Source organism: Homo sapiens, chromosome 3 (assembly GCF_000001405.40).
Source record: "Homo sapiens chromosome 3, GRCh38.p14 Primary Assembly".
In the NCBI taxonomy this organism is placed as follows: Eukaryota; Metazoa; Chordata; class Mammalia; order Primates; family Hominidae; genus Homo; species Homo sapiens.
In genome coordinates this window covers 103,516,941-103,535,864 of record NC_000003.12, presented here as the reverse complement: position 1 = coordinate 103,535,864, position 18,924 = coordinate 103,516,941, and the positions used below count along the sequence as shown (strand labels likewise).

Here is an 18,924-nt window from a genome sequence, read left to right as displayed (position 1 = left end):
AGCATAGGGAACAATGTTTTGGGACGTTGCCTTGCTCTAAAATACCCTTATCGATGTTAGAGTTACAGAAATAACTTTCTCAAGGCAAGTTTAAATTCGTATCTGTTACTTGTTGAAGGTGTCCAGGTTCTTGGCATCTTGGACAAAGAACTGGACAAAATGCACAAACAAAGCAAGGGAAGAAGGAAGCAACAGAAGCAGAGTTTTACTGAAAATGAAGGTACACTCCACAGGGTGGGAGCGAGTCTGAGCATAGGGGCTCAAGAGCCTGTTACAGAATTTTCTGAGGTTTAAATACCCTCTAGTGGTTTCCTTTGTTTACTTGGTCTACATCTTAATAAATGAGGATGAAGTAAAGTTGCAAAGTCATTTACTCTGTGTGAGCCCTAGGTAACTGGAGAGGATGTTTTCTGTCATAGTTGAAGTGTTTCCATTTGATTTAGTTCTAGAAAGTCAGCAAGAGTAAGACTTACGTTCCCTGCCTTCAGACCCTGTTCTCCTGCCTCATTACTAGTAACAAAGTGAAGTATTTTTATTTATTTAATTATTTGTGCTTTCTAGGAAAATGTTGAAGCATAACACGTTTTTATGGGAAATTCTACACAATGTAACCATTAAGTTCTTAAGGATTGACAGGTGGCCCTGTGAGTCATAATCAAGGTTCTGTTCACTCAAGATCAGATGCTAGAAACTTGTTCAAATGCACTAGCTGGAGAGTGTGAAATAAAATGTATTTTAACAGGTAAAAAGTCATCTTAATAGGTACAGGCAAACTGTAGAAGAAGCTCTTAATCAGTCATCCCCTTGAGTAGCTTCCTTACCTCCCTCCTCTCCTTTATAACCACATACTGTAAAGCATAATCACCTCTGCAACCATTTCCTCACCTCCTACTCAACTCTGAACCCACGACAATTAGCCTTCTGTCTCCATCACTTTGCCATATCAGGTCTCACAAAACAAACAAACAACAAACAAACAAACAGTGACTTTCACATCAATATATCTCTCAGTAATATAGAAATTCCTCCATGACTTTTAAGTCTCTGCATTGCTTAGCACAAATATTTACTTCTTAAAACACTTTATTTTTAGGATACAGAGGCTTCTTATTTCCTTCCTGCTCTGGCAGATCCTTCTGTAATTTTTATTTTTATTTGTGGCTTATATTCTTTTACCTGTGCTTATATCGTTAATATCCTTTTTAAGTCATGTGACAGGAAATTAAGTCTTGGGGCTCCCCAAATCACTAAGCTGAAGGGAAAAGCCAAGCTGGGAACTGCTTAGTGCCAAGCTGCCTCCCATTCTATTCAAAGTCATCCCTCTGTTCACGGAGATAAATGCATATCTGACTGCCTCCTTTCAAAAAGCTAATCGGAAACTCAAAAGAATGCAACTGCTTTTTTCTCATCTATCTATGAATTGGAAGCCCTCTCCCTGCTTGAGTTACCCCGCCTTTCTGGACATGATCAATGGACATCTCATATATATATTGATTGATGTTTCCTGTCTCCCTAAATGTATAAAACCAAGCTATGCTTGCCCCGACAACCTTCGGCACATGTCATCAGGACCTCCTGAGGCTGTGTCACGGGTACATCCTCAACGTTGGCAAAATAAACTTTCTAAATTAACTGAAAGCTGTCTCAGATATTCGGCATTCACAATCATTTCATATATTCCAAGGTCTCAAATATTATCTATAAGCAAATGGCTTACAACTTTATATTTTTAGCTTTTTGTTAATTCAATACATATTTATTGCATACTTGCTATTTTTTAGGTATAAAGTGGTGAGCAAGACAGTATGACTGTTGCCTTCATACTTTAATGGAAAAAACACACTGAATCAATAAAATTGTGCAAATAAAAATATGCCTATAATAATGATAAGTTCTATGAATAGAAATTGTATAATAAAATAGTATAACAGAACTCTGTACTATCTTTTGCAACTATCTTTGCAAAATATAAAATTATTTCAAAATAGAAAGTTTATCAAAAAATGGGCAGGTAAGTAGTCTAATATTTTAGTAAAATGTCTTATAACATAGTATTATTGCTATGAATTAAACATGATAGCTAAATTGATAAGTGCTTTAGAGTAAATGAATAGGTTATTAATAATAACTGTTTTAGAATAAAAGAATAGGAGATTGATGAATGTTTCAATATAAATGATGGCAATGTGATTGTTAAGTCTAGCAATAAACAAATGTTTTTCTCCTAAAAAAAGTGTATAGCCATTTTTATTTAATCTTCATTTATATCTGGATATTAGAGAATCTCAGAAGTGAATTTCAAGTTGAGACATTCACATGAATTTCAATACATCCACGAGTAAATTATCTTTCTTATTCTAATCTTATCCTCCTCTACTGTTTCCTTAGTAAATGTGAGGGACAACTTTTTAGAAGTCAAAGAAGAAATCTGACATTTAGCTTTTCCTCACCTAATATATCCCATTAATCAGTTACGCTATTCCTTTTTTTTTCCTTCTTCTTCCTCTGTTTTTTTTTTTTTTTTTTTTTTTTTTTTTTTGTGGCAAGGTCTCATATTGCCTCCCAGGCTAAGTGCACACTATCAAGCCTGACTAAACTAATTTTGCAATTTTTGTGGAGACTGGGTTTCCCCGCATGTTGCCCAGGCTGGTCTGGAACTCCTGGGCTCAAGCCATCCACCCGTGTCGGCCTCCAAAAGTGCTGGGATTATAGGTGTGAGCCACCATGCGTGGCCACATACTATTTATTGTAATTACTGAGTCATTACTTTTCTCCCAAAAGCCAGTACCATAATAGAAGTGCAACTCACATTTTTTCTTTTGATTCTCTGCAAAATCCACTATTTTTGAGGAGATTTTTAAAAAATCCCTAATCTAATCTCTATTGATATAACCAGATTAATTTTACAAGTGCAATCCTGATTATGACATGTTTAAAATTATTTAGGACTTCCCAATAATGTTCAAAATTTTTATCCTGGACTCCAAAGCCCTGTATATTTGGGTCCCCTACTTACCACTTAGGTTTAGCTTATCTCATGTAACTCTCTCCAGCACTCTTTATGTTTTTTTTCTTCTCCACTATAATTGGCTTCTTCCATTTGTCTTAGTCATCCGTATTGTATAGTGTTCATAAAGTTACTTACTCAACTTGGAAATCTGGAATCATTCCCCTACTTTTTATTTTGCCACCTTCTGTTTCTCCTTGTTTCAAGTTATATTGACAGTTGCTAGAAACTATCCCTCACTCATCTCAGCCTCAATATCCCTACGTAAGAAATCTCTGTCATAAGCTTTCATCACAGTCTCAATCTAATTCTTAGTATGGGTAACAATTATATTCAATAAATGTATTGATTTATTTGTCTAGTTGCATTGTTGTAAAAAAAAAATTAAGCCCTGGGATGATAAAACTAATACGTATCTTCTTTATCATTTTATCCCCAAACAACTATTTGAGAAGAGAAGAATCTAAATTTCAATTTCCTTTTTATTCTCCACCACAGGGATGGGATGGTACTAGAGGTACAGGTCTACCTCAAAGTTTTGTAAGGCAGTTCAGACAAGTAGACAGCATGTTCTAGATGACAGATAATAGTACTAGAAAACAATTAGTACTAAAAGTCAACAGGAAATCTAGAGAATTGAATTCCAATAGCAAATTATGTTGGTAACTGAGACATGAGTAGTTTGCATACATTAATATTAAATAATAATTGAAAACATTTTAGGTAGGATAAACAATTATGAAATTTTTAAATAGATAGCATTGTCCCATCAACTGGGCTCAGGTTCAGCATCAGAATGTAGCTCCTGAGGAAACTAACAAAACCCTAAAAATTAAATCAGAATCTAAGGTAAAAAAAGGAAAGGACAGGACCGGGTGCGGTGGCTCACGCCTGTAATCCTAGCACTTTGGGAGGCCGAGGCGGGCGGATCACAAGGTGAGGAGATCGAGACCATCCTGGCTAACACGGTGAAACCCCGTCTCTATTAAAAGATACAAAAAATTAGCCGGGCGTGGCAGCAGGCGCCTGTAGTTCCAGCTACTGGGGAGGCTGAGGCAGGAGAATGGAGTGAACCCGGGAGGCGGAGCTTGCAGTGAGCCGAGATTGCGCCACTGCATTCCAGCCTGGTGACAGAGCGAGACTCCGTCTCAAAAAACAAAACAAACAAACAAAAAATAGGAAAGGACATGAAGAAGTTGGTTATAAAATAGGAGTCCGGGAGGTGAGGGGCGCCTCTGCCCGGCCACCCCTACTGGGAAGTGAGGAGCCCCTCTGCCCGGCCAGCTGCCCCGTCTGGCAGGGAGGTGGGGGGGTCGGCCCCCTGCTCGGCCAGCCGCCCCGTCTGGGAGGTGAAGGGCGCCTCTGCCCAGCCGCCCCTGCTGGGAGGTGAGGAGCCCCTCTGCCCAGCCACCACTCGGTCTGGGAGGTGTGCCCAGCGGCTCATTGAGAACGGGCCATGATGACAGTGGCGGTTTTGTGGAATAGAAAGCGGGGAAAGGTGGGGAAAAGATTGAGAAATCGGATGGTTGCCGTGTCTGTGTAGAAAGAAGTAGACATGGGAGACTTTTCATTTTGTTCTGTACTAAGAAAAATTCTTCCGCCTTGGGATCCTGTTGATCTGTGACCTTACCCCCAACCCTGTGCTCTCTGAAACATGTGCTGTGTCCACTCAGGGTTAAATGGATTAAGGGCGGTGCAAGATGTGCTTTGTTGAACAGATGCTTGAAGGCAGCATGCTCGTTAAGAGTCATCACTACTCCCTAATCTCAAGTACCCAGGGACACAAAAACTGCGGAAGGCCGCAGGGTCCTCTGCCTAGGAAAACCAGAGACCTTTGTTCACTTGTTTATCTGCTGACCTTCCCTCCACTATTGTCCTATGACCCTGCCAAATCCCCCTCTGTGAGAAACACCCAAGAATGATCAATTAAAAAAAAAAAAAAAAATAGGAGTTCAAGATGGCTACTAGGAACTTAATCAGAAATACACTTATATACCAATCAAAAATCCCAGAGGAACAGAATTCACTTATACCAATCAAAAATCCCAGGAACAGAGGAGCAACAGGAGTGAAATGAAGCTAAATGCCAACATGTTGAGTTTAAGATAATTATATCCCATTACCTAAAATCTGGGCCTGGGAAAGTGATCTATTTTCCAGCTTTCCACCAGCCCAGTCTGGAATGAAGCAGATGAGCTTGATTAATATGAATTGTACTCGAGAGAGCTCAAACTTGTGAGGATCAATGAGAAAAATAAATAATTGTCCTTTAAGTGTAAAGGTAATAATCTGAAGAGGGGCTACTCTAGGAGGAAGCACAAAGAACACACTTAGAGAAGTGGTAGATTAAGAGCCATGAGAACTGATTATCAAGCAATAAAATGAGAGCAGCAGAGCAGACAGGAGGTAGATAAGCAGAATAGTGTGTGTGTGTGTGTGTGTGTGTGTGTGCGTGTGTGCGTGTGTGCGCGTGTGTGCGTGTGTGCGTGTGTGTCCAACCTAGATCTCTTTTCCAAATTCCAGATTAACATATTCATCTCTCTACCTAATATCTCACTTGGATATCTAATACACATCTCAAACTCTATGTGACTTAAACTGAAATTATTTCACTCCCTTGCAAATCCTCTTCACCTAAAATCCTCCCAATCTGGTTTAGTAGGAACTTCAAATTTTGCTCCATTATTTTTCTTATACCCCATGACCAATCCATCAATAAATCCTATGGGATTTAATTTCAAACTATATACTCAATCAAAGTACTTCTTACTATTGCTGCTTTTACCATCTGGTCAATGTGCTATCATCTTTTGCCCTTATTGATCTCACAGCTTTTACCATTGATTCTCATGGGTATATTCTTAACACAGTAGCCAGAGTAAATCTTCTAAAATGAAAATCACACCATGTCACTCTTTTTTTTAAAGAAAATGCTTGCAACGGCTATTCATTTTACCCACAGTAAATGCTAAAATCCTTTTTGTGAAACAGTTGTCCATGGATCTCTTGTTTGCATAATAAGCATCCTTGGATGATAGAGATAGTGTCTTCCTCTAGGGCAGAGGAAATATTTGTTTCTGAAACAGGACAATAAAAGATACTGTTTCCTTTCAGGGTAAAAGTTGGCACAGTTTGCTAGCTGCCCCCTCATATGATTGGAAGTTTTGATGGTTAACCTTATGTTTCAATTTTGTTGGACCATGGAGTGCCCAGATATTGGCTAAACCTTATTTCTGAGATGAGATTAGCATTTGAATAGGTTGACTGAGTAAAGCAGACTACCCTCCTCAATGTGGGTGGGCATCATTGAATCTGTTGAGGGCCCGAATAGAACAAAAAGGGGGAGGAAGGAAGAATTTGCTATCTGCCTAACTTATGAGCTGGGACATCAGTCTTCTCCAGCTCTCAGCTTATGACTGTCTGTCATCTGGCTTTCAGGTCTTTGGACTCAGTCTGATCTACGACACCAGCTTTCCTAGGTCTCCAGCTTGTTGACAGCAGATTATGAACCTTCTTAGCCTCTGTGTTCACAATAAATCCTACATGATTATAATAAATCCTCTCTGTCTTCTCTGTACATATATATATATACACATAAACAGATTATATTATACACATATAATCATAAATATATGTAAAAATCATAAATATATAACATCATAATATATATGTAAAAACCATATCTGTAAAATTATGTATATATGAACCAATAGGATATATACATACATGTGTGTATATATCCTATTGGTTCTGTTTCTCTGGAGAACTCTAAGAAAGAAGTTTTGTAAGTTCAGGATTTCTCATCTGTAGCTACTATGCTACTGTGTTTGCAGTGTCCATCTGGGCCACTTGATATTGCTTCTGTGGGACTTAGGAAGCGTAAGACACAGGTATGAACATGAAGTGCATACTGCCTGCCTTTCTGTGAGTAATAAAGTCCATTTTCTCTTATGCAGAAGTCTCATTGCTTCTCTCAACACCTCTGAAACTGAGGCAGGCTCACTTATTAGTTTGTAAATTAAGTCAAACCTTAACCCTTAGCAGTCTTTAACAATCCTTACAATCACCTATAGCTGTGCATGAATTAATCCATTGACTCTCTGACGAATCATTCTCATGTCCTATTCAATGTCCTACTGTGAGTTCCATCACTTACTGAGTTCCATCCACAATGTCCCTTTGCTTTCCCTAGGATACTCGTAGTCCTACCTCAGGAAATTTGCAGTAGTTGTTCTTTCTTGAAAAGCTCTTCTCTCAAACATGCACATGGCACTTAACATTGTCATTAAATGAAAAAAAAAAATAGTATCAGGTGAATCAACAAATAGAATATGTGTAATCCAAAAACTGGGTCATTTTTTTTTTTAAATTACAATCGGTTTATTCAAAAGAATCTTACTTTTTAAAAAACATACTCTTCCCCCAGTTAACTAGATTCTCTATTTTTTTTTTTAAATAAGGATATTGAATAACTTGCTTGGCTATTCAGAACTATGTTGTTTTTGCTGTCATTTAAATTCTAGGTTGAGACAGTTTAATTGTTTTTTTTTTCTTTTATTATTATACTTTAAGTTTTAGGGTACATGTGCACATTGTGCAGGTTAGTTACATATGTATACATGTGCCATGCTGGTGCGCTGCACCCACTAACTCGTCATCTAGCATTAGGTATATCTCCCAATGGGTCATTGTTAATCTCATTAACATTGTAGAGTCTTTCTGTTATTTGACTTGGCTGATTCTCTTCTATCAGGGAGCATGTTCTTTAGGTAATAAAGCTACTCTCCATGCCTAATTGTACATGAAGTTTATGTAAAAATTACCTCTGAAAAGAAGAAGAAAATACAGATTGAGAATGAGGAACAGTGAGAAACATTGGCCAATTGTAAAGTAAACACAATTGCAAACTATTTCTTCTCAAATTTCCACATTATATTGTTGAATTAAAAGTGCTAATTTCAAAAGACAAATTAATAATACGACTTTATTGTTTTAGTTATCAGATAATTTTTTAATCCTTTCAATACTTCTTACCTCCCTCTTTGTCAGACTTGCATTTAAATAACCTAATTATCTTGCCATTCTTGATTGTTTTTAATCCAATGAAAATTAACTTTTAGAATTAACTCTTTAGATCTTGGGACCTGAAATCCAAACTCTTCCTTGGAATTTGATGCAGTCTTCCTGGCCAATGTGCAAATGGGCTAAGGAGAACTTTGACAAAATAGTCTTAATATGGACAGTGCTTATTAGATGCCTGCATATTATTCAACATTAAACCAATAGTGAAAACCCTCGTTCAAGCTCATGTGTTCTGTAAGAACTAATGAAATATACTGCAATTAGACCAAAAATTTTAATTAGGGGTAAAAATGGGAGAGCCAAATCTGATTTCTCAGAGAGAATAATGACAAAAGCACAATCTATTATAGGAAAAAGCTTTGAAATAGAACCCATGAAAGTAACTAAGGGAACAAGAGGAAATAATAATCAGGGAGGGAAAACTCTGAAGCAATTAGACATTTTTTGGAACTCTGGAAAATGTGCAAGGCCAGTTCTTCAATAAAAACAGTACAATACTTGATATTTGACAAGTCTTATAGCACTCTTATGTATAATAATTAAACATTTGTTGAAGATGAACATGTTCACATATTTTTTATAACAACTTCTGCACTTATTCAATAAATCTCTTTCAAAATAATATAATTGGAAAGCAGATTTTTAAGTCTTTAAAATGCTAACCATTGCCAATAGGGTCGAAATTCTTTGCTGAAAGACATCTTGAATAAAAATTTTGTTTTTCTATTACATTAAAATCTCTGATCACGTCATACGTTGGAATAACTGCAAAACAGATTTTATTTGACAATAGTGTATTTGTCAAAAGCTAGTTGGAATAGCTGGCATTTAGTATGTGATCTGTGGAAATTAGCATTATGGTAGACAGGTTATGGCAGCATAACCTTTTAAAAGAAGGGCTGGCTGTCCGGCTCTGGAGTGCGATCTGAAAACAGCTTCTGGTTGTCAGCTTTTTCAGGGTTTGACGCAATAGCAGAGGGCTTTCTCCCCCGAGTTACCCTTACCTGTGACCCAGTAAAGCAGGAGAACTAAGGAGGAATTTACAAACGTTTCCCATTAAAAAGCAAACAGCAAGTGTTTTAAGGTACATGAGCAGTAGAGACTCTGCCACAAACTACTCGATTTTGCTGTTGTAGCTCATAAACAGCCATGGATAATACATAATGGATGAGCATGGCTATGTACCAATAAAACTGTATTTATGCACGTTTAAATTTGAATTTCATATAATTTTCATGTCAGAAAATATCCTTTTGCCTTTTTTAACTATTTAAAAATGTAAAAAAAAATAGTCTTAGCTCACAGACTATAAAAAACATGTGGCAGGCTGACCGTATTCTGGTGACCCCTGGTAAAAAGATCTCATCTATTTCAGCCTGTAGTGCGACAGTGTTTTAGACAATCCTTGCTCCAGAGCTCCTCACCAAGTTCTCTGATTATTTGTTTGGCCTTTGATGCACTTTCACTCCTCCCTCTACTCAACCTGCTTTCGTCCCTTCTGCTTACTGATGTTGATCCCTTACCAACGTTTTGCATTAAAAACTCAGTCTCAGCATCTGCTTCTCTAGGACCTAACAAGAGACATATAAAAATTGATATCATTCGGTATTTTCTCCTCTAAAGATGATATTAAGTTTCATTTTTCATTGCCATCATTGAATCAGAGAGAAATTAAAGAGGGTCAGAATAAGTCTCCCTCTACCCACAGAGAGATCAGCTATGTGTATATAGAAGTCTAGAGGAAAAGGGGAAATATATGTGATAGAAAAAGAAGCCACTGGTAAGCTAACTGAATGTTTTAGTCTGATATTTACTTGCCTCAATATAGTCTGTTCATATTCATTTTGAATTTTTCTTGTAGGACTCTCAAATAGTTGACTCCATTTTCTACCAGACTGCCTTTTATTTTTTAACCTCTACCAATCACCTACTTCCAGTCACCTTTTATTAGACTAAGCAATCTCAGTTACTACTGCTAGCTATAGATAGTTTATTTTCCATATATAAAACCTCTTTCCCTTTTCATTATCCTCATTTATACAGTTAGGTCCCCATCCTATCCCTGACATGTTTCTTCCATCTCAACTTTGCCATCACATTGAGGCACTTCTTGGTCTCTCCACATGTTGCCTATCAAAACTTATCTGCTGTAACCCCGATTCCAAGTGAGTTCTTGCTCTTGGTTATCAACCACTTGGAAAGTATTCAGTATGTTTTAATCATGTATTAAATGTGGATGGTGCTTTTATATTTTTCTACTTCCTCATATTAGCATTTAATACTTTATTCCATAGGAAAGAATTCCCCCTAATAGAATGTCTGGTTATTTGACACCTACAAAGCAGGCAAATTTTGAGCATGGAAAGCTACCTGGTGACCCTCAGTCAAACCATGTGGAGATTTGCCAACAGGAAAGATTAGCCTGGCAGCACACAGTACCGAGTCATAAACTATTTGACTCTAAAACCTGGATATGGCAATGATTGTATCAGTAGCCATAAATCAGGCAATTATCTGAAAGTGGGGAGAAATATGGGGTTCACTTTCAGCACCCCAAAATCATTTCACTTTAACAAGGAAACACACATTTTAATTCATTATTACTTTCATACTTCTTTTCTTTATTCATTGATTCTGAAGAATAACTAGAAATAATTTCCAAACTGTTGTTTACCTTTTCCACCACTCTTTGTAATCAAATTTGCATTTGTCCTTTGCTTTGTGGACAAACAAATGATTAAACATGTTTTCAATTATTCTTCGGTGTGCCATTAGCCTACCTCTTTTTTCCTTTTATTCCATTTGGTAAATAAAATAAAAATATTTAATATATGTGCTGATATATTTACCTTTGCATTAGATTTTCCCCTTTGTTTTTGAAAGAAGTCCCCTTCTTCAGGTAAATAATATCAAATAGAGTAAATTTGATCAACATTGTTGCAGGAATCCATTTTTCACAGTCAATTAGAGAAGCAGAAAAGGAGGAGCACCACCCTTCTTTCTCTTCCATATCTATTATTTCCAACTGGCCAGGCAAATTGATAGTGCATGTGAAGATGGCTGTGGAATCATGGCAAGCTTGTAACTGTGATATGGTCTATGAAATTCTGCCTGCATACCTATACAACTCCAAGCAATGTTTACAAATTCACACTACTCCTCTAGTAGGACATTTTGAGAGGAAAAATACTTTTTATGAAGAAAATTTAGGGTTTTAATAATATTTCTTTTGATTAAAGTATAATACCAATTTAGTACCCAAATTATTGAAAACATGGTTAAGTTCAAAGAAGATAAATGAAATATCCAAAACCCCATAATAAAATTGAAGCTTTATGTGTGCATATATGTGTATACTTGTGTGTATTTGTGCACTCATGTTTACTTGTATTTACATACATAAACTATGAGAATCACTCATGGTGTTCATTTCTCAAATTAACACATAGTCTACTGTGAGAAATTGAATCAATTAACTTATTTGTGTATTATATCTTGGAAGCCCAATTGGATATTCTAAATACTGGGCAATTAGAAATGGAATGAGCCGATATATTGGGTGGGTGAATTCTTTATACTAGTTTTGTTTGCTGTAGATCTCTATTTATTTATTTATTTATTTACAATAACATGTCTATAATCTGTTTTTTCCATCCATTATGTTGGTGCAAAAGTAATTGTGGATTTTGCTATTACTTGTATTTATTTGTAATGCAAAACCCGCAATTAGTTTTGCACCAACCTAATAGAAAGCATGTTCCATTGGGGCTAGGTCAGCAGTGTATTGGCTCACCACCTCTTCCTCAGATTACCTGATATAAATCAGGTGTTCAGTGACTATCTGTGGGTAGAGGTAGATATATGATTGCAGATTACAATTAGCCTTTCACTGTGCCAGGGTCTGATACAGGCATTGCAGAGCCTCATGTTTACACAACTGAGGACTCTCTTTTTTTTTTAAACAAATATTAAGACATTAATACAAACTTGCAAGACATCTTCCAGAGTCTCAGAAGAAGCCTTGGCTAGGGAGGTGCCCCCAAAGCTTAAGCTTTATTATTTCTTTGGAAAATTCACCTCTGCTTTCACTATATTTGATATATTAGTTTTAAATATTTTTGTCTTCACACATTCTGTCCTGGTCCATTTTTTTCTCTTTGTCTGCATTTTCTAGCTATATAGATACAATGTTCTATTGGATCTTCTTGTTTGTGAATGAAGAGATTTTATTTAATAAAAAGACATTTGGACATTTGATTTGGTTCTTCCCATGGTGTCTTCTTATGAATTGCTGTATGTTTTCATATATCTGATAATTACATTCTGTTTTCTCATACTTATACAAGGAATTCTACACTCACACAGCATTAGAAATTAAGATAAAATGTGTAAAATTCTGTTGTTTCCTGTCCTGAGTATTTAACCCCCATATGAAGAATGGAAACGGTTAGATAAGCCAGGGTTGCTTTGCCAGGACCCTGTGCTCATTAGCTCTCTGCATCACTAAGACATCTTGGAAGCAATGCTTTCTACCTGACGGTGCTATCCTCATCCCATGCTTTCTATCTGAGGGCGCTATCCTCATCCCATGCTTTCTACCTGACGGTGCTATCCTCATCCCATGCTTTCTATCTGACGGCGCTATCCTCATCCTATGCTTTCTACCTGACGGCACTATCCTCATCCCATGCTTTCTACCTGACATTGCTATCCTGTCAAGGGGTAATGAAGTTCATGACAATTTTTATTTGTTTTTGTTTTGTAGAGAACTACCATCCAACAGAAATACAATGTGAGTCCCAAAATAGAGCCACACATGTAATTTTAAAAAGTTACTTAAAAAAGTAAGAGAAAACAAATAAAATTAATTTTAGTAATATATTTTAACCCTGAATATATGAAATGATACTATCTGAAAATATATTTTATTGTCACATAATAATTATACATATTTATATGGTATACATGTAATGTTTCAATATGTATATACACATAATCATTAAATCATGATAATTAGCACACACATCACCATAGATATTTATCTTTTTATTGTAAGAATATTCAGAATTCTCTCTTCTACTTATTTGAAATACACTATGCATTATTGTTATTGTCACCATACTATGCAAGAGTACCAGAAATTATTCCTTCTATCTCACTGTAACATTGTACCTATTGACCAACCTCCTCTAATCTCCCCTTACCCCACTCTCCTCAGCTCTAGAAACCACTGTTCTACTCTCAACTTCAATGAGATGAAGATTTTTTATTCCAAATACGGGTGAGATAATGAGGTGTTTGTCTTTCTGTGCCTAGCTTATTTCACTTAACATAATATCCTGCAGGTTCATCCAAGTTGTGTCAAATGACATTTCATCCTTTTCATGGCTGAATAGTAGTCCCTTGTGTGTATACATACCACATTTTCTTTTTTAAAAAAATAATTTCAACTTTTATTTTAGATTCAGGGGGTATATGTGAAGGCCTGTCACATTAGGACACTGTGTGATGCTTAGGTTTGATGTACAAATGACACTGACACCCAGTGAGCACACCCAATAGGCAGTCCTTTCAGGCCTCACCCCATTTTTCTTTCCTTATTCCACTAGTCCCCATTGTCCATTGCTTCCATCTTTATGTCCATGTGTACTGAGTGTTTGGTTCCCATGTATAAGTGAGAAATGCAGTATTTGGTTTTCTGTTCCTGTGTTAATTGCCTAGGATTCTAGCCTGCAACTGCATCTATATTGGTGTGAAGGACATGATTTCATTCTTGTTTATGGCTAGGTAGTATTCCATGTGTACATGTGTCATATTTTCTTTTTCCAGTCAACCTTTCATGGGTGCCTAGGTTGATTCAATGTCTTTGCTATTGTGAGTAGTGCTGCAATGAACATATACATGTCATAACATGCCTTTTAGGCAGAACGATTTATTTTCCTTTGGGTTTATACCCAGTAATGAAATTGTCATGTAAAATAGTAGTTCTGCTTTAAGATTTTTGAGAAATCTCCAAACTGTTTTCCACAGTGGTTGAATTAATTTACATCACCACGAACAGTGTGTAAGCATGTCATTTTTTTCCACAGCCTCTCCAACATCTGTTATTATTACTTTTTTTTACTTTTTAGCAATAGCCATTCTGACTGGTATGAGATGATATCTCATTGTGGTTTTGATTGACATTTCTCTTATGGCGAACTTTTTTTTTTCATATGTGTGTTAGTCACTTGTATGTCTTTTTTGAGAAGTGCCTGTTCATGTCCTTTGCCCGTTTTAAAATGTTTTGTTGTTATTGTTTGTTTGGGTTTTGCTTGCTGATGTGTTTAAGTTCTTTATTGATTCTGGATATTAGACATTTGTCAGATACATAGTTTGTGAATATTTTCTCCCATTCTATATGTTGTCAGTTTACACTGTTAACAATTTCTTTTTCTGTGCAAAACCTCTTTCGTTTAATTAGGTCTTACTTGCCAACTTTTACTTCTGTTGGAATTACTTCTGAGGACTTAGCAATAAATTCTTTGCCTAAGCTATCTAGAATGGTATTTCCTAGGTTTTCTTCTAGGATTTATGTAGTTTGAGGTCTTATATTTAAATATCTAATCTATCATGAGTTAATTTTTGTCTATGGTAAAAATGGGGTGGGGGGGATTCAGTTTCATTCTTCTGCATATGGCTAGCCAGTTCTTCCAGCACTGTTTATTGAATAAGTGGTCCTTTCCCTGTTGTTACTTTTTGTTTACTTTTTTCAAGAATCAGTTGGTGGTAGGTGTGCAGTTTTATTTCTGGGTTCTCTATTCTGTTCCATTGGTTTGTGTGTCTGTTTTAGTACTACTACCATACTGTTAGAGTTACCATAGCCTTATAATGTAGTTTGGAATTGGGTAATGTCATGCCTTTGAAACAGTTCTGAACCTATAAATTGCTTTAGGAACTTTGGCAATTTTAATAATATTGTGTCTTCATTCCATGAGTATAAAATGTTTTCTCATTTATTTGTGTCATCTCTGATTTCTTTTAGCAGTGTTTTATAGTTCTCCTTGTAGAGATCTTTCACCTTTTTTGCTAAATGTATTCCTTAGTATTTTATTGTTTGTGGCTATTGTAAATAAGTTTTCATTCTAGATTTGGCTCTCAGCTTCAACCCTGTTGGAGTATAGAAATTTTTGTACATTAAATTTGAATCTTGAAACTTTACTGAAATTGTTATGGGTTCTAAAAGGCTTTTAGTTGAGTCCCCAGTATTTTTAGGTATGCAAGCATATCTTCTGCAAAAAGAGATAGTTTTTCTTCTGTATTTATTTGAATGCCTTTTTTTTTCTTTTTCTCGTCTGATTGCTCTGGCTAAGACTTCTAATACTATGTTGAACAGGAGTGGTGAGAATAAACATCCCTTATTTTGTTCCTGTTCTTAATAGGAATGCTTCCATCTTTTGCCTATTGAGTAGATGTTGGCTGCAGATTTGTCATAAATGACTCTTGTTATTTTGAGGTATATTCCTTCAATACCTAGATTGTTGAGAGTTTTTATCATGAAGAGATAAAAGATGTCAAAGAGATAAGAGATGTTGGAGTTTATCAAAAACCCTTTTGCTTCCATTGAGATGATCATAGGATTTTTGGATTTAATTCTATTTATAGGGTGAATCACATTTATTGATTTGTATATGTTGAAGCAAACTTGCATCTCAGGGATAAAGTCTACTTGATCATGATAAATTAACCTTGAATATTCTGCCAGATTAGGTTTGCTAGTATTTTGTTGAGGGTTTTTTCATATATGTCAAGGATATTGGCCTGTAGTTTTTTTATTGTTGTATCTTTGCCAGGTTTTTGGCATCAGGGTAATGCTGGCTTCATAGAATGACTTAGAAAGGAGTCCTTCCTTGATTTATTTTTTTTGGGGGGTGGGGGAGCAGAATGTCTTCAGTAGAATTGGTACCAGCTTTTCTTTGTATGCCTTGTAGAATTCAGTTGTACAGTCATCTAGTCTAGGGTTTTTTCTTGATTGGTAGGTTTTTTATTAATGATTAAATTACAGAATCTATTCAGAGTTTCAATTTCTTCTTGATTCAATTTTGGGAGCTTGTGCGTTTCCAGCAATGTATCCATTTCCTCTAGATTTTCTAGTCTGTGTGCCTAGAGGTGTTCATTATAGTCACTGAGGACCTTTTGTATTTCTGTGAGATCAGTGGCAATGTCACCTTTGTCATTTCTGATTGTGCTTATTTGTATCTACTCTCTTTGTTTCTTTGTTAACCTAGCTAGCCGTTTATTGATCTTGTTTGTCTATTTAAAGAAGCAACTTTTGTTTAAATTGATCTTTTGTAAGAGTTTGGGGTCTCAATTTCATTCAGTTTTACTCTGATTTTAATTAATTCTTTTTTTATACTAGCTTTGGGGTTATTTTGTTCTTGTTTTTCTAGTTCCTGTAGTTGTGATTTTAGTTCATTAAATGAAATCTTTCTAACTTTTCAATGCAGGCATTTAATGCTATAAACTTTCTTTTAACACTGCTATTGCTACATGTCGTAGATTTTGGCAGCTGTGTCTTTGTTTTCATTTATTTTAAATAATATTTTTTAATTTCTGCCTTAACTCTGTTGTTTACCCAAAAGTAAGGCAGGAGCAAGTTGTATAATTTGCATGAACTTGTACCATTTTGAGTGATCTTCTTGGAATTGCTTTCTATTTTCTATTGGTTCGAGAGTATGGTTGGTATGATTTCCTTTTTTTTTTAATTTATAAAGCCTTGTTTTATGGCTAAGAATGTAGTTGAGCTTAGAGTATGTACTGTGTGCACATGAGAAGAATGTATATTCTGTGGTAAATGGGTGGAGTATCCTGTAGATGTTTATTAGATTCCACTGGGCAAGTTTACAATTGAAGTCTAGAATTTCTTTTTAAGTTTTCTGCCTCAAAGATTTGTCTAATGCTGTCAGTGGGGTGTTGAAGTCCCCTATTATTATTGTGTTGCTATCTACAGTTTTTTATAAGTCTATAAGTACTTGTTTAATGACTCTGGGTCCTTTGATGTTTGGTGCATATGTATTTAGGTTAGTGAAGACTTCTTGTTGAATTGATCTTTTTATCATCAGGTAAAATGTCTTTTTTTCCCCTTTTTACTATTTCTTTTTGGTTCAAAGTTTGTTTTATTTGTTATAATAATAGTGGTTGCTGCTTTTTTTTGTTTTCTGTTTGCATGATGTATCTTTCTTCAATTATTTACCTTGTGTCTATCGGTGTCATTACATGTGAGATGGGTCTCTTGAACACAGCAGATGGATGGGTCTTTTTTGTATTATACAACTTGCCACTGTGAGACTTTTAAATGGGGCATTTAGATCACTTACATTTGAGATTAATATTGATATATGAGGTTTTGATCCCATTATAAAGTTGTTAGCAGGTTGCATTGTAGTTTCTGTTGTGTATTTGCTTTATAGGGTCTGTGGGCTATGTGCTTAAATGTGTTTCTGTGGTAACAGGTTTAATTATTGGATTTCTATATTTAAAACTCCCTGAAGGATCTGGTCTAGTGGTGACAAATTATCTAAGCTATTGCTTATCTGGAAACTATTTTATTTTTTGATAGCTTATGAAACTTTGTTTGGTGGTATATGAAAGTCTTGATTTGAATTTCTTTTGTTTGAGAATGCCAAAAACAGTCTCCCCAATATCTTCTGGCTTGTAAGGTTTCTGCTGAGAAGTCCACTGTTACCCTGATGTGGTTCCTGTCATACATGATCTGACCTTTCTCACTAGTTGCCTTTAAGATGTTTTCTTTAGTGTTGACCTTGAACAGTCTGGTGACTATATGCCTTGGTGATATTCATTTTGGGTAGTATCTTATAGGTATTCTCTGAATTTTTTGTATTCAGATGTCCACTTCTCTAACAATATTAAGAAAATTTTCTTGAATTACTCCCTCAAATATGTGTTTCAGGTTGTTCATTTTTTTCTCCTTCTTTCTCAGGAATGCCAATAATTCACAGTGTGGTCACTTTACATGATACTATATTTCTCAAAGACTTTGTTCATTTATAAAAGTTATTTTTTCTTTACTTTTGTCTAAGTGTGTTATTTCAAAACCCTGGTCTTCGAGCTCTACAATTCTTTCTTCTGCTTGGTCCAGTCTATTGATAAAGATTTCAACTGTATTTTGAAATTACTTAAGTGAGTTTTTCAATTCCAGAAGCTCTGATTGCCTACTTTTTAAGATCTTTATATTTTCCCTCATTCCTTGGATTAATTTAGAAGTTTCTTTGTGTTGATTTTCAACCTTGTCTTGGATCTCATTAAGCTTACTTGCAATTCATATTTTGAATTCTTTATCTGTCATTTCTGCATTTTCATTTTGTTTAGGAACCATTGCTGGAGAGCTAGTGTGATCCTTTGGTAGTGTCACAACATTCAGATTTTTCATAGTGCCAGAATTCTTGTGCTGGTTCCTTCTCATTTGTAGACACTGGTACTTCTAACTTTTGTACTTATTTCAGTGCAGATAGGATTTGCTTTTCTTTCCCTTTCCCCACTCCCTGGAGGGTGTGACGGAAGAAAATGCTGATTAAGATGTATTGACTTTGCTTTTGCAGTCTTACGCATTTCTGTTGGCAGGTTTTATATTGGGCCATAGGGTCCAAGCTACAGACCAGTAGATGGTATTTATGGATAAGAGCTTGCTGTGGCCAACATCACTGTGCATATACTTGATCCTTGTTTACTGGAAGAAGCTCTCTGTTGCCCCAGGGAATGGGCTAATCCACGGAGTGCTCAGCAGTCTGATCTTTACCTGATTAAGAGTATTAGTAAGTTTCTTTTACCACATTTTT

General features: G+C 35.8%; 1 non-coding gene across 1 annotated transcript; it reads left to right on the top strand.

Annotated features, from left to right (window-relative positions):
• The first annotated feature begins 11,748 nt into the window (after positions 1 to 11,748).
• Positions 11,749 to 11,832, top strand: MIR548AB (microRNA 548ab). The gene has a single exon (NR_039611.1). It is a non-coding gene; the product is annotated as a microRNA 548ab (primary transcript).
• The last annotated feature ends 7,092 nt before the right edge of the window (positions 11,833 to 18,924 follow it).